This window comes from Homo sapiens, chromosome 1, assembly GCF_000001405.40.
Source record: "Homo sapiens chromosome 1, GRCh38.p14 Primary Assembly".
NCBI lineage: Eukaryota > Metazoa > Chordata > Mammalia > Primates > Hominidae > Homo > Homo sapiens.
In genome coordinates, this window is record NC_000001.11 from 40,317,638 (window position 1) to 40,335,232 (window position 17,595).

At 43.3% G+C, this 17,595-nt stretch overlaps 1 pseudogene; it reads right to left on the reverse strand.

The window, feature by feature from the left end:
* Positions 15,405-15,961, reverse strand: RPL21P20 (ribosomal protein L21 pseudogene 20; annotated as a pseudogene).

Sequence of the window (17,595 nt, forward strand, 5' to 3'; positions counted from 1 at the left end):
CTTGCTGCAGGCTCTCCCCAGCTCCCGCCCACCTTGCTCCCCTCTCCTCTGGCTCCTTCCTCTCCAAGCACAAACAAACAGGCCTTTTCCATATTAATATGCCACAGTCCTTCCTGGATCAGCCGTCTCATGAATACTCCATCGGCCTCTTCCAGCTCTTTAGTGGAGCTGTGTGCACCTCCCCCACCCCCGAACTTCCTCACCTCGCTTTCACCTCCCTACTCTGTCCCAACAAGCAAATCTGTCTCCTGGAGGTCTGCAGTGAAGCCCAACCCTTCTTCGGTCCTCCAGGCAGGAAGCTGTTGGCATCTTCACCTGCCCTTGAAGTCTTCCCCATCCAAGCTCCTGCCATCCAGCTCCCCTTTTTCTATTGCCTTTAATTCTCTGCAGCTGCCTTAAGCACTGGTGTGTTTAGGATTGGGCCTTCTCACTCCATGTTCATAGAAACAACTACCACTTTATTCACCAGAGTTTCCGAACCCCGCTGTCCAGCATAGCCCGACTCCAGAGAGCCTTCCCTTCCCTCCCACTCACTTAGGCAATATTGGTAAAATGCTTTGGAATCTGACTTTTTCACAATTATAGATATGACCACAGGCACCCCAAACTCTATGAAGTCTCATTTTCCTCATCTGTAAAATGGGGATACTAATAGTCCATATATATATATATATATATTTTTTTTTTAAGACAGAGTCTTAAAAGGCTCTGGAGTGCAGTGGCACGATGTCAGCTAACTGCAACCTCGCCTCGCGGGTTCAAATGATTCCCCTGCCTCAGCCTCTCGAGTAGCTGGAATTACAGGCATGAGCCACAATGCCTGGCTAATTTTTATATTTTTAGTAGAGATGGGGTTTCGCCATGTTGGCCAGACTGCTCTTGAACTCCTGACTTCAGGTGATCTGCCTGCCTCAGCCTCCCAAAGTGTTGGGATTACAGGCATGAGCCACCGTGCCCAGCAAATTGTCCTTATCTTAAAGGGTTTTTGTGGAAATTGAATGAGATGACTCATGCGAGGCATTTAACCTCGAACCAGCACATAGTAGGTGCTTGATACATTTTAGCTTTCCTTATGATTTATGGATGACTGTTTTACTAGGTTGGCATCCAATGTGGGGAAGCTGGCCACAGGCAGATCAGCTAAAATGATGAACCTAGTTGAAGCTAGAAAAGTCCAACTCCATTGGGCAGGTTAGCAAAGGGCTCTGGATTTTGAAAGGTTGTCCTGGAGCTGAGTTTGGGAGAAAGAGCTTGAGAGAATGTAATTGCTCTGCCTAACAGAGTGAAGAAGAATTTGAAGTTTGTTGGAAGATGAGAGCAAGAGGAGGAGGATGTAAGAGAGGGATGGTGGGCATTGCTTGGGGTGGGTGGGGTAAACCTATAAAGGATTTTTAGAACTGGGATGTCCAAATTCAATTTTAAGTTGTTTGTTTCACATCACTTATCTCTCCATCTTTTGTGGGCTAACCACAAGAAAGGCCTTGTGTGAGTAAGTTTTCTTTTTGTGTGTGGAAATTATGGAAAGAGGATGAGTTTCACAGTCTGGACAGCACACATTGATGTATTAATTACCTGTTGCACCATAACAAATCACCCTAACATTCAGCAGCTTAAAATGACAATTTCTTTGGATTAGGAATTTGAGAGTGACTCTGCTGGTTCGGTCTGGCCTGGGGTCTGTTATAAGGTCATAGTCAGATGGTGGCTGGGCCTGATGTCACCTAGAAGGCTTCTTCACTCACATGTCTGATGTCAGTACTGGGAAGCCTTCAACCGCTGGGGCCGGAACAGCTGGAGTTGCTTGGACAGTTCTCTCCTTTATCTCTTTGTGGGCTTTCCATGAAGTTTCTCCAACATGGCAGCTTCAAGGTAGCTGAACATCCTCTATAGCAGCTCAGAGGGAGTAGGAGAGCACCAGACTGAAGAGAATTGCCACTCAGGACCCGTCCTTGGAAGTCATGCAGTGGCACCTTCACCACATTCTTACTGTTGAGGCAATTGCAAAGGTCTGCCCATGATCAAGGGGAGGGAACAGAGACCCCACCTCAAGGATGAATGTTAATGTCACATTTTTTAATTTTTTTTTTGAGATGGAGTCTTGCCCTGTCACCCAGGCTGGAGTGCAGTGGCGCAATCTCAGCTCACTGCAACCTCCGCCTCCTGGATTCAAACGATTCTCCTGCCCCAACCTCTGGAGTAGCTGGGATTACAGGCGTACGCCACCACTCCCGGCTAATTTTTGTCTTTTTAGTAGAGATGAGGTTTCATCATGTTGGTCAGGCTGGTCTCGAACTCCTGACCTCATGATCCGCCCGCCTCGTGATCTGCCCGCTTTGTCTTCCCAAAGTGCTGGGATTACAGGCATGAGCCACCGCGCCCAGCCAGTGTCACATTTTAAGAAGAGAATAAGGGATAAAATTTATTTATTTATGTCTTTCTTTCTTTCTTACTTTTGAGACAAGGTCTCCCTCTGTCACCTAGGCTGAAGTGCAATGGAGGAATCACCACTCACTGTAGCCTCAAGTTCCTGGGCTCCTGATCCTCCCACTTCAGCCTCCTGAGTAGCTGGGACTACAGGCATGCACCGCTGCACCCAGCTAATTTTTTATTTTATTTTATTTTACTTTGAGACAGAGTCTTGCTCTGTTGCCCAGGCTGGAGTGCAGTGGTGTGATCTCGGCTCACTGCAACCTCCATCTCCCGGGTTCAAGCAATTCTCTTACCTCAGCCTCCCGAGTAGCTGGGATTACAGGCGCCTGCCACCATGCCTGGCTAATTTTTGTATTTTTAGTAGAGACAGGGTTTCACCACATTGGCCAGGCTGGTCTCCAACTCCTGACCTCAAGTGATCTGCCCACCTCGGCCTCCCAAAGTGCTAGGATTACAGGCGTGAGCGACTGCACCCAGCCATGCACCCAGCTAATTTTTTATATTTTGTAGACACAGGGTCTTGTCATGTTTCCCAGGTTGTCTTGAACTCCTGGGCTCAAACAATCCTTCTGCCTTGGACTCCCAAAGTGCTGGGATTACAGGTGTGGGCCACTGCACCCAGCCTGGGGATGCAATTTTTATTATTGATGCAACCATCTTTGGAAAATACATCCTGCCACACTTGGGGTTATAAACTGAACCAATCCAGTGGTAGCTGAAGCTTAAAGCTGGAGCCAATCAAGATAAATTTTAGGCCAGGCAAGGTGGCTCACGCCTGTAATCCCAGCACTTTAGGAGGCCGAGGCAGGCAGATCATCTGAGGTCGGGAGTTTGAGACCAGCCTGACTAATATGGAGAAACCCCATCTCTACTAAAAATACAAAATTAGCCGGGCATGGTGGTGCATGCCTGTAATCCCAGCTACTCAGGAAGGCTGAGGCAGGAGAATAGCTTGAACCTGGGAGGTGGAGGTAGCGGTGAGCTGAAAGCACGCCACTGCACTCCAGCCTGGGCAACAAGAGTGAAACTCTGTCTAAAAAAAAAAAAAAAAAAAATTATATATATATATATATATATATATATATATATATATATATATAAATTTTAGGGAAGGCTTTGGACCACAAGACATGGACTGGAGGTTCCAGCCAATTGCATATGGGTGTTTGTTTGTTTTTGGAAACAGGCTGGAGTGCAGTGGCACAATCTTAGCTCACTGCAGCCTTGACCTCCAAGGCTCAAGTGATCCTCCCACTTCAGCCTCCTCAGTAGGTACTTCTTGCATAGGACTCTTAAAGCACAGGGAGACCCTGAATAAGTGGAGAGTCATATATCTACATTTCTGTATAAGAAAACTCCATGTTGGCCAGGTGTGGTGGCTCATACCTGTAATCTCAGTACTCTTGAAAGCTCAGGCAGGAGAATCACTTGAGGCTAGGAGTTCAAGACCAGCTGGGGCAACACAGTGAGACCCCTTTCTCTACAAAAAAAAAAAAAAAAATTAGCAGGGTGTAGTGGTGTCTCCCAGCTACTTGGGAGGCTGAGGTGGAAGGATCACTTGAACCCTGGAGTTTGAGGCTGCAGTGAGCTATGATTGAGCCATGACATCCTAGCCTGGGTGACAGAACAAGACCGTCTCTAAAAACACAAAAAATAAAAATAGAAACTTAAAAACAAATGGCTAGGTATGGTGGCTCATGCTTGTAATCCCAGCACTTTGGGAGGCCAAGGTGGGAAGATCCCTTGAGCCCAAGATTTCAAGACTGGGCAACATAGATGTATATATATATAATATTTGAAATCTATGATGAAAGTATATATATTTAGTTTATGATAAAGGTTAAATTCAAGAGCAGTGAGGAAAGGGTAGACTAGATGTTGAGGTAATTGGCCATATATTCAGAAAAAAATTCAACTTAGATTTCTATATCAGCATACCAAAACTATATTCTTGAACAAATTAATTGAGGGCCCATATATAAAGATAGCAAATTATAAAAGGCCTAAAATAAATTTAAAAAATAATTTTTTTTGTCATGGAAAACATTTCTGGGCAGTACACAAAACCTAAAAAAGATAAGAAAAATGCTTAAAGTTGACTTTATCACACTTTTCTACACTTTATCACACTTTTTAAGTTTTTTTACAATAAAAATTACAGATAAAATTAAAAGTCAGAAAAGTTGAGAGTCATATATCTACATTTCTGTATAAGGAAACTCCATGTTGGCCGAGTGTGGTGGCTCACACCTGTATTATAATGTATATTTACAATTACATATATATATTACATATACAATTACATATCTAAATATATATTTAGATAATATATATTATATAAATTATATAATTTACAGTATACATTACGAGACAAAGCATTAATATGGAAAACATACAAAGAACTCTTATAAATCAATAAGACAAGCTCTATGAAACACTTAAAAGAATACCTGGCAGGGCGCGGTGGCTCACGCCTGCAATCCCAGCACTTTGGGAGGCCAGGGTGGGCGGATCACCTGAGGTCAGGAGTTTGAGACCAGCCTGCCCAACATGGAGAAACCCAATCTCTAGTAAAAATACAAAAAATTAGCCAGGTGTGTGGTGGGCACCTGTAATCCCAGCTCCTAGGAATGCTGAGGCAGGAGAATCGCTTGAACCTGGGAAGCAGAAGTTGCAGTGAGCCGAGATTACGCCACTGCACTCCAGCCTGGGCGATAAGAGCGAAACTCCTTCTCAAAAAAAAAAAAAAAAAAAAAAAGAATATCTAATTCAAATATTCTACAAACTTTTTAGAGAATAGAAAAATAAAGAACATTCTCAAACTCATTAATGGGGCTGATATAAACTTGATACCCAAACCAGTGATAGGCAGTAAGAGAATGGAATATTAAAGGCCAATCTATTTTACGAACATAGATGCAAAAATCCCATATAAAATATTAACAGATTGGGCTGGGCACGTTGGCTCACGCCTATAATCCTAGCACTTTGAGAGGCTGAGGCAGGTGGATCTCCTGAGGTCAGGAGTTTGAGACCAGCCTGGCCAACATGGTAAAACCCTGTCTCTACCAAAAATACAAAAATTAGCTGGGCATAATGGTACACACCTGTAGTCCCAGCTACTCAGGAGGCTGAGGCAAGAGAATTGCTTGAACCTGGGAGGCAGAGGTTGCAGCGACCCAAGATCACGCCACTGCTCTCCAACCTCAGCAACAGAGCAAGGACAGAACGGTTTCAAATGAGAAAATCTATTAATGCAAAGAGTTTAAGATCATATCAAGATACACACAAAAAAGCAACTCAAATGTCTGTTTTTGCTCCACCTACCATGGTAATTTTTTCTGCAGGATCAAGCCTGAAAATGAGGACCTAAGAGGCCAGGTCCCAGACCAGGAGGGAGCATAGACACCATGCCCTCCCCAGCCTCATCCCTTCTCCCAAGGAACAATTTACAGAGTCTGGCCACACCCTCCTAGGGACTAGAGCAAAAAATAGGGAAGATAAATGTCCCTTCTATTTCCTTTTTATTAGAATTAACTCAGGATTTCTCTTCTTTCAATACAATTTTAAGTTGTAGTCATAGAGATATTTTATATTTGAACAGAGATTGAATCTGATTCATCCCCTGTGCTCCCCAATTGCAGAAGTCCTTCGATTTTGTTTTAAAGAGACACGATCTCATTATGTTGCTCAGGCCAGACTGGAACTCCTGGGCTCAAGCAATCCTCCCACTTCAGGCCCCTGAGTAGCTGGGACTACAGGCGTGTGCCACGGAATCAGCAAGTAACAGATCACTGAATCAACCCCCAACCCACACTAGGCTGAGCCTTACTTAAGGACCTTCCCTAGCTGTGCCCTTCTCTCTCAGGGGCAGGTTCTCAGAGCTCAGTTTGGAGCTCACGGACTAAATCTTCTTACACCTTGCCAAATGCACCAGGCTCACATCATTTCCTTGATCATCTCCCAAAATCTCTCTCCTTGCTGTTCTGTTTTCCCTCCCCTGACCCAGCATCCAAGTTCTCTGCCAGTCTCCCATCCTAACCTTCCCACGGTGTCTTCCGGAACATGGGTTCAACAATCAGCCAGCTTCCTTACTGTTCTCAATTTCCAGGAGCGTGTCCTCTGCCTCCAAGCCACAGAACTCAACATGATCTCTGACAACAGTCCTTCCCTGCAGCCCTCTTACCCGGAAGCTGATTATCCTCTCACACCACATCCCTCAGGGACAGGGGGTGGAATCAGTGTCCACATTGTTTCTTGTAAAAAATCATATATTTATTTATTTTGAGACAGGATTTCACCCTGTCACCCAGGCTTCAGTGCAGTGGTGCCATCAGGGCTCACTGCAGCCTCAACTTCCTGGGCTCAGACCTCCCAAGTAGCTGGGACCACAAGCGTGCACCACCACACCTGGCTATTTTTTATTTTTTGTAGTGGGGCTGAGGTGTCTCCCTATGTTGCTCAGGCTGTCCTCAAATTCCTGGACTCAAGCCATCCTCCTGCCTCGGCCTTCCAAAGTGCTGGGATCATAGGCATGGGCCGGACTGCACCCGGCCTCCACATTGTGTCTTTAGATATTTTTCCAGACATCTGATTATAGAAATCCCTATTCTCAGGCATACGCCAACTGATTCCTTTTTTTTTTTTTTTTCTTTGAGAAGGATTCTCACTCTGTCGCCCAGGCTGGAGTGTGGTGGCACAATCTCAGCTCACTGCAACCTCTGCCTCCCGGGTTCAAGAGATTCTCCTGCCTCAGCCTCCTGAGTAGCTGGGCTTACAGGCATGTGCCACCATGCCCAGCCAATTTTTGTATTTTTAGTAGAGACGGGGTTTCACCATGTTGGTCAGGCTGGTCTCGAACTCCTGACCTCATGATCTGCCCGCCCCACCCTCCCAAAGTGCTGGGATTACAGGCATGAGCCACCGCGCCCGGCCGTTATATCAACTGATTCTATCATCCCTCCTCCTTGTTGCCATCATCCTGTTTTCCCTGGGTCACTGTCTCTCACTCACTAGTGATTTGGGCACCTGGATCATATCTTCCCCTCCTCTCAGAATCCTGCCATCACCTGGTGCACTTCAATAACTTCTTCTTCTTCTTCTTCTTTTTTTTTGAGACAGAGTGTAGTGGCATGATCTCAGCTCACTGCAACCTCCAACTCCTGGGCTCAAGCAATCCTCCCACCTCAGCCTCCCAAGTAGCTGGGACTACAGTCATGCGCCACCATGCCCAGCTAATTTTTGGTATTATGAGTAGAGAGGGGGTTTCTGCCATGTTTCCCAGGCTGGCCTCAAACTCTTGGACTCAAGTGCTCCACTCACCTTGGCCTCCCAAAGTGCTGGGATTAAAAGTGTGAGCCCCCACTCCCGGCCTCAACCACTTCTTCTTCTTCTTTTTTTTTTTTTTTTGAGACAGAGTTTTGCTCTTGTTGTCCAGGCCATAGTGCAATGGCCCGATCTCGGCTCACCGCAACCTCCACCTCCCGGGTTCAAGCAATTCTTCCGGTTCAGCCTCCCAAGTAGCTGTAATTACAGGCATGCCCCACCCTGCCTGGCTAAGTTTTCGTATTTTTAGTAGAGACGGGGTTTCTCCATGTTGGTCAGACTGGTCTCGAACTCCTGGCCTCAGGTGATTCGCCCGCCTCGGACTCCCAAAGAGCTGGGATTATAAGCGTGAGACACAGTGCCTGGCCATCAACAACTTCTTTAGGCCGGGCGCGGTGGCTCATGCCTGTAATCCCAGCACTTTGGGAGGCCGAGGTGGGTGGATCAAGAGGGCAGGAGATCGAGACCATCCTGGCTGACACGGTGAAACCCCGCCTCTACTAAAAATACAAAAAATTAGCCAGGCGCTGTGGCAGGCGCCTGTAGTCCCAGCTACTTGGGAGGCTGAGGCAGGAGAATGGCGTGAACCCAGGAAGCGGAGCTTGCAGTGAGCTGAGATCGCGCCACTGCACTCTGTCTGCCTAGGCGACAGAGCGAAACTCTGTCTCAAAAAAACAAAAACAAACAAACAAAAAAACTTCTTTAACGACCCATTCAACAGCCTGCATTCTCAGTTTCTTGACTATTTCCTTTCTAGTGACCATCTCTTCAACTCTTCTTCAGCAGTATTTTTAAGGAAGGCTATGCCTGGGGTTTGGTATCCTCCAGAAGTGTCTCACCTCTGAAATATTAAAATCAAACAAGAGCCACTGTGTAAGATGTCTGACACCCGTGTCGGGGAAACCACGTGGAGAGGCCCTGAGACTACATGGAGAGGGAGAGGGGCCAAGCTGAGCCCTGCTTTCCAGCTGTCCCCACCAAGGCACTAGCCATTTGACTAAAGCCATTTTAAACCTTCCAGACCAACCGCATCACCAGCTAAATACCTCCAAAAGCCCGAATTGACACCAAATGGAGAGAAAGAATCGCCCAGCCAAACCTTGCCTGAATTCCTGATCCACAGAATAGTGAGGTATTAAAAAATATTTTTAAGTTTTTATTTTGAACTAATTATAGATTCATAGGAAGTTTCAAAAATAGTACAGAAAGGTGCTAAAGACCTTTTATCCAATTTGTCTCAGTGATAGCATCTTTCATAACTGTAGAGCAATTATAAAACCAGGAAACTGACAATACAATCCACAGACTACATTCAGATGTCACCAGTGTTACATGCATTCATATGTGATCGCATGCATGTACAGTTCTAAGCAATTTTATCACATGTGACATTAGCGTAGCCACCACCACAATCAAGGCACAAAACTATTCCATTTCTGCAAAGATCCCCCATGCTACCTTTTTCTGGTGGCATCTCTTTCTCCTCCACTTGCCCCTTAAACCTTGGTGACAGTACTTTGTTTCTATCTCTATAATTTTGTCCACTACGAAAATATTACAGAGATGGAACTGTACAGTACACATCTTTTTGAGATCGGCTTTTTTCTTTTTTTCTTTTTTTTTGAGACGGAGTCTCACTCTGTTGCCCAGGCTAGAGTGCAGTGGTGCGGTCTCGGCTCACTGCAAGCTCCGCCTCCTGGGTTCACACCATTCTCCTGCCTCAGCCTCCTGAGTAGCTGGGACTACAGACACCCGCCACCATGCCCAGCTAAATTTTTTTTGCATTTTTAGTAGAGACAGGGTTTCACCGTGTTAGCCAGGTTGGTCTTGATCTCCTGACCTCATGATCTGCCCACCTCGGCCTCCCAAAGTGCTGGGATTACAGGCATGAGCCACCGTGCCTGGCCGAGATCGGCTTTTTTCATTCACCATACTTCCCTTGAGAAACACCTACCTGTTGAGTGTATCAGTAGTTTGTACATTTTTACTGCTGAGTAGTATTCCATGGTATGGATGTACCACAGTCTGTTTAACCATTCACCCACTGAAGGATATTTGGTTTGTTTCCAATTTGGGGCTATTAAGAATCAAGTTGTTATGAACATTCATGTACATATTTTTGTGTGGACCTAAATTTTCATTTCTCTGGAATAAATGCCTGGAAGTGCGATTGTTGGATCATATGGTAAGTGTATATTAAGTTTTGTTTTGTTTGTTTTGTTTTGTTTTAGACAGGGTCTTGCTCTGTCACCCAGGATGGAGTGCAGTGGTGCAAACACAGCTCACTGCAACCTTGACCTCCCAGGCTCAAACAATCCTCTCACCTCAGCTTCCTGAATAGCTGAGACCACAGGCATGCACCATCATGCCCGACTAATTTTTTTTTAATTTCTTCTGTAGAGACAGGGTCTCACCATGTTGCCCAGGCTGGTCTTGAACTCCTGGGCTCAGGTGATCCTCCAGACTAGTCTTGAATTCCTGGGCTCAAGTGATCCTCCAGCCTTGGCCTCCCAAAGTGCTGGGATTATAGGCATAAGCCACCATGCCCAGCCTATATTAAGTTTTTTTTTTTTTGAGATGGAGTCTCACTCTGTCACCCAGGCTAGAGTGCAGTGGTGCGAACTTGACTCACTGCAACTTCTGCCTCCCAGGTTCAAGTGGTTCTCCTGCCTCAGCCTCCCAAGTAGCTGGGATTACAGGCCTGTGCCACTGTGTCCACCTAATTTTTGTAGTTTTAGTAGAGACGGGGTTTCACCATGTTGGCCAGGCTGGTCTTGAACTCCCAACCTTAGGTGATCTGCTCGCCTTGGCCTCCCAAAGTGCTGGGATTACAGGTGTGAGCCACTGTGCCTGGCCTATATTAAGTTTGTAAAGAAACTGCCAAAATGTTTTCCAGAGTGGTTGTGCTATTTTATATTCCTACCAATGATGTATAAGAGATCCAGTTTCTCCATAAACTTGCCAGCATTTGTTGTTCTTGCTATTTTTATTTTAGCTGTTCTATTATTTTATTTTATTTTTGAGACAGGGCCTGGCTCTGTCACACTGGCTGGAGTGCAGTGGCGTGATCTTGGCTCACTGCAACCTCCACCTCCCGTGTTCAAGCTATTCTCCTGCCTCAACTTCTCGAGTAGCTGGGACTACAGGCACGCACCACCATGCCCAGCTGATTTTTGTATTTTTAGTAGAGATGGGGTTTCACGATGTTGGCCCAGCTGGTCTTGAACTCCTGACCTCAGGTGATCCACCCGTCTTGGCCTCCCGAAGTGCTGGGATTACAGGCATGAGCCACTGTGCCTTGCCTCGTTCTGTTGTTTTAAATGTGTGATAATATCTTGCCATGATTTGAACTTGCATTCTCCTAATGGCTATTAATACTAAACATCTTTACAAGTGCTTATTTCCCATCTGTATATCCTCTTTGTTTGAAATGTCTGTTTATGTCTTTTGCCTATTTTCTAATTGGATGCATTTGCGACTTCTTTATATATTCTAGATATGAGTCCTTTGTTAGACGTATAGTTTGCAAGTATTTTCTCCTATTCTGTAACTTGGCTTTTTATACTTTTAAAATCAGGCCTTTGGCAAAGCAAAAGATTTTAATCTTGATGAAGTTCAATGTATTGATTTTTTTCTTTTACATATTTTGGTTTTGGTATCATGTCTAAGAACTTGCTGAGCCCTACGTCCAGCAGATGTTCTCTGTCTTAATAATTTATAGTTTTAGGCCGGGCATGGTGGCTCATGCCTGTAATCCCAGCACTTTGGGAGGCTGAGGCAGGCAGATCACCTGAGGTCAGGAGTTCGAGACCAGCCTGATCAACATGGAGAAACCCCATCTCTACTAAAAACACAAAATTAGCCAGGCATGACAGCACATGCTTGTAATCCCAGCTACTTGGGTGACTGAGGCAGGAGAATCGCTTGAACCAGGGAGGCGGAGGTTGGGGTGAGCTGAGATCGCACCATTGCACTCCAGCCTAGGCAACAAGAGCGAAACTTTGTCTCAAAAAAAAATAATAATAATAATAATAATAATTTATAGTTTTACGCTTTACATTTGAATTATGATCCTTTTGAGGTAAATTTTGTATAAAATATGAGGTTTATGCCATGGTTCATTTTTTTGCCTATGGATATCCAATTATCCTTCAATCACTAAATTATTTTTCAGTTTAAATGGATCCTAGTGGTAGATGGATCTCAAGGTAGGTGATTCCTCCCACTTTATCATTTTCCAACTGGCTTTAGATATTCTTTTTTTAATTATTCTTTTTTGTTTATTCTTTTGGTTTTAGATATTCTAGTTCCTTTTTGCCTTCCTATATAAATTTTAGAAAAACCTTGTCTGTGTTTACAAAAAAAATCTTGTCTTGATTTTTGATAGGAATTGTGTTAAACCTGTAGTTCAACTGGCATTCTTTACTATATTGAGTCTTCCAATTCATGGACATGGTAGATCTCTCTATTTATTTAGATTTGCTTTGATTTCTCTCACCAGCATTTTGTAGTTTTCAACATATCAGTCCTGGACATTTTTTTGTTAGTTTTGTCCCTAAGTATAGCATTTTCAGTGATTATGATGGCATTTTAAATTTTGTTTTCCACATGTTCATTGCTAATATACAGCAATAAAATTGATTTTTGTATGTTGATCTTGTGAGGTTTTTGTTTTGTTTTGTTTTGCTTTGCTTTTTTTTGAGACAGGGTCTCATTCTGTCACGCAGACTGGAGTGCAGTGGTGCAATCACAGCTCACTGCAGTCTCAACCTTCCAGGCTCAGGTGGTCCTTCCACCTCAGCCTCCCAGGTAGCTGGGACTACAGGTGAGCACCACCATGTCCAGCTATTTTTTTTTGTATTTTTAGTAGAAATGGGGTCTCACTATGTTGCCTAGGGTAGTCTCGAACTCCTGGGCTCAAGCGATCCATCCACCTTGGCCTCCCAAAATGCTGGGCTAACAGGTGTGAGCCACCACACCTGGCCATTTTCTGTTTTTTTGATAGCAGCCATCCTAATGGGTGTGAGATGGTATGTCATCATAGTTTTGATTTACATTTCCCTGACAGTCTACCTAGAAGTAATATTATGTCGCCTGATACATAATGTAAGAACCTTCCAACAGTACTATTCCATTGCCACTCCTCTTGTTCATTGCACTGTTTCGGTCATATATTTTATTTCTCCATATGCTTTTGAGCCTACAATACAGTATTAATATTTCTGCTTTAAAGAGTCCATTGACTATTTTTAAAGAGAAATAAACAAAAATGCTTTATTTTTACAGGAACCTATAACATTCGTATTTTTAGAATTAAATCCCAATAACACATTTAATACTGTCTTCTATTCCCATTTCAGCATGGCTACTATTGGTTTTGTGCTTGCCTGGAATACCATGATTCCTTAAGTTGTTTCTGGAGTCCTCATCAAGGCTTTTTGGACTATATGCTGTTGTTAACTCAGTATCTCTATGGGAGAATGAAGTCTGGGGCTTCCTATTCCACCATCTTGCTGACATTATGCCCCAAGAGTCCACTGACTTTTAAAGAATTTAAGAAAGTAAAGAATAATATCTTTCACATCAACCTATGTACTATTTTCAGTGTTCTTCCTTTTTTCCTGGAAATCCAAAGTGCTATTTGGTGTAATTTTCCTTTAAACTGAAGCCCTTTCTTCATCATTTCATACATTTGGTTCTGCTGGTGACAAATTCAACTTTAATTTATTTGAAATTCTTCATTTTGTCTTCATTTTTGAAATACATTTTCACTGGATATTAAGTTCTAGGTTTGCAGGTTTTTGTGTTTTTGTGTGTGTGTATGTTTTTACTTGAGCACTTTATTTTATTTCATTTTTTTGAGAAAGAGTCTCGCTGTGTCACCCAGGCTGGAGTGCTGTGGTGCAATCTTGGCTCACTGCAGCCTCTACCTCCCAGATTCAAGCAATTCTCATGCCCAGCTGCCTCCTGAGTAGCTGGGATTATAGATGTGCACCACCATGCCCAGCTCGTTTTTGTATTTTTAGTAGAGACAGGGTTTTGTCATATTGGCCAGGCTGGTCTTAAACTCCTGGTCTCAAATGATCCTCCTGCCTCAGCCTCCCAAAGTGCTGAGATTACATGTGTGAGCCACTGTGCCCAGCCTACTTGAGCACTTTAAAGAAGTTGTTCCAGTGTTGGCTGGGCTCCACTGTTTCTAGTGACAAGTCAGCTATTATTCATGTTTGGTTCCCTGTAGGTCTTTTATCTCTGGCCACTTTAAAGTTTTTCTTTTTCTTTTTTATTTTTTTTGAGACAGAGTCTTGCTCTGTCACTCAGGCTGGAGTGCTGTGGCGCAGTCTTGGCCCACTGCAACCTCCACCTCCTGGATTCAAGCAATTCTCCTGCCTCAGCCTCCTGAGTAGCTGGGATTACAGGCACACACCACCACGCCTGGCTAATTTTTGTATTTTTAGTAGAGACGGGGTTTCACCTTGTTGGTCAGGCTGGTCTCAAACTCCTGACCTCGTGATCCACCCGCCTCAGCCTTCCAAAGTGCTGGGATTACAGGCGTGAGCCACTGCGTCCAGCCTAAAGTTTTTCTTTATCCATAACAGTTTGACTATTACGTATCCCAATATGGTGTTATTTGTACTTATCAAATTGTGGGTTTCTGATCTTCTGGTCTATAGATTGCTGCTTAGAAAAAATTAAAGTTGGAAAATTTCTGCTAGTATTTCCTCAAATATTTGTTGTTCTCCACAATCTCTCTCTCTTATCTTTGTGGAACTCCAATTATATATGTATTAGATCTTTCAACAGTGTCCAATAGGCCATAAAGATTGTGATCACTTTTTTTTTCAATTTTTTCACTCTCTGTGCTTCAGTTTGGTTGATCCTATTAACTAGTATTTACACTTATGGGTTATTTCTTCAATTATGTCAAATCTATTCTTAATACATCCAACACATTTTAAATTTCAGATATTGGCTGGGTGCGGTGGCTCATGCCTGTAATCCCAGCACTTTGGGAGGCTGAGGCAGGCAGATCACAAGTTCAGGAGATCGAGAACAGCCTGGCAAACATGGTGAAACCTTGTCTCTACTAAAAATACAAAAATTAGCTGGGTGTGGTGGTGTGTGCCTGTAATCCCAGCTACCTGGGAGGCCGAGGCAGGAGAATCATTTGAACCTGGGAGGCAGAGGTTGCAGTGAGCCGAGATTGTGCTATTACACTCCAGCCTGGGTGACAGGGTGAGACTCCATCTAAAAATAAATAAATAAATACATACATACATAAATAAATAAATTTTAGATGTTATATTTTTCCTTTTTAGGATTTTCATTTGGTTCTTTTCTACTACTTTCAAGTCTCTCTTGATAGCTTTCATTTTTTTATTTTTGTAAATTATTTTATTTCTTCCTTGATGATTTAGAGGCCCTGTCTTCAAACCAGTACAAATATTTCATACATAATACCTGGCCATTTTCTAACCAATTGAGTAATTTGTTGCACAATAAGCTACCTCATGTCTTTCAGCAAGAAATACATTAAATTTGAACAGTAAAGACATTGCATAATGAATTAGGACACAATTAAAATTTCCTTTAAATATTTCTTTGGGGGAGAGGATACTACACTTCTACTCAATGAAGAGAAACATTTTTACAGTCCGGAAGTCTTCTATTTTTTTTTAACACCTATTATGCCATGAATTCATAGGGAATAGTTTCCAGCAGCTCAGGCTCCTTCCCATTGGTTCTCACACACTGTGCTTCTCTGGGTGGAGCAGGCTGGTGCTTCCGTTGAACCCAGGTAACTTTCTCTTTGGCTTCTTTCTTTTTCTGATCATTTTCCTTCACACGTTTCAGGAAGCTATCTCGGCTTTTAGAGTGCTTAATGTGCTCAATACACACATTAATTCTCTTGGCAAGAATCTTGCCCTTAACTTGTTTGTTTACAACAATGCCAACAGCATGCTGGGGAACATTGTAGACTCTTCCAGTTTTGCCATGGTAACACTTGTGGGACATTCCTTTTTGAACAGTACCCATTCCCTTGATGTCTACAATATCACCTTTCTTATAGATTCGCATATACATGGCCAAAGGAACAACTCCATGTTTTCTAAAAGGCCTAGAGAACATGTATCGGGTGCCTCTCCTCTTTCCCTTTGTGTTTGTCATTTTGGCGAATTACTGGAAGGTGGCGTTTCTGGCCGTAAGGCTGATATTCTTCATTTTTAAACCCAATATAACCATCCTTTCCTGTAGACTCTTAAGGACAATTTGTCATGGTTACTTTAAAGTTTTTGATTCCGAATTCTGATATTTGAATTGTCTGTGGCTCTGTTTCTATTGACTTTTTTTCTCTTGTCTATGGGTCACATTTTTTTGTGTGTGTGGTTGTTGTTGTTTTGCATGTCTAATAGTTTTTATTGCACATTGACCATGAGTGATACGTTACAGAGATTCTGAATTCTGTTATACTCCTCTGAATAGTGTCAATTTTTTTTTTTTTTTTTGCCAGCAGTTAAATTACTGGTGGATCATCTCAAACTTGTGGGTGTTTGATTTTACTCTTTGTTAGAATAAGTCTACTTTATTTATTTATTTATTTATTTATTTATTTATTTTGAGACAGAGTTTCACTCTTGTTACCCAGGCTGAAGTGCAATGGCACGATCTCGGCTCAGGGCAACCCCCATCCCCTGGGTTCAAGCGATTCTCCTGCCTCAGCCTCCTGAGTAGCTGGGATTACAGGCACCCAACACCATTCCCTGGCTAATTTTGTATTTTTAGTAGAGATGGGGTTTCACCATGTTGGCCAGGCTGGTCTCGAACTCCAGACCTCAGGTGAACCACCCGCCTTGGCCTCCGAAAGTGCTAGGATTATAGGAGTGAGCCACTGCGCCCGGTCTAAGTCTAGTTTTTATTTTGCTCCTGGTCATAGGCTATATCTCTTAACTCAGGATACAGGGTTTTCTCCTTAGGTATAGTCCTTTTGGGGTTTTGATGGACTGTCTTTTACCAAGCCCTGATAATGTGGCAGAATTTCAACTTCAAATTGTCTTCCTTGCAGTGAGCAGCAGCTAAAATCTTTGCTCATTAATTTCATCCTTCCAGCTATTGGTTTCCCCGCTGAGTGACTTGGAGTCTTATTTGTGCATGTGCGATTCAAGGCTTAGCTCAGGATTTGAGGAAGTTTATGTGCAGATTTTTGGTTATTTTCTCTGGATCTTTTGTTTCTGGGGTTTCTCCCTCAATTTTCAGTCACTGTAACAGCCTGAACTCTATCTTCTGATTTAATTGACAAATTAAGTTCTGAATTTCTGCTCGAATTCTAGCTTTCTGCGCTGTGGAAACTGAAGAATTTTCCCTGGTGGAAAATCCATATAAATGTGGATCATACCCAGTGTGGTTCCCTTATTTGAAACACGGAATCTCCTTCCAGCTTATGCCTGGTTTTCGTCACTTTACAGTGCCTTAATTCAGTTTTTATTTTTTATCATTGCCAAATATTTTTAGCAGAATTTATAGTTGTTATCTATGAGGGAGTTAGTCAGATACAATCTACTCTGCCATTACCAGAACTAGAACTCAGCCCAGTTTAAGAACTAACAAAATTTAGTGAGCACCTTCTTTGTACTAAATATGTACAACATTGGTCAAAATAGATACAGCCCCTAGCTTCACAGAGCTCACACTTAGGGTAGGGGTTCAGATAAGACAGAAGTGTGCTGACAGCTACATTAGAGGAAACTTGTGGGACTATCGGGACCTAAAGTGTAGTGATATCAGCTCTCTAAGAAACATTTTGGGCCAGGCGCGGTGGCTCACGCCTGTAATCCCAGCACTTTG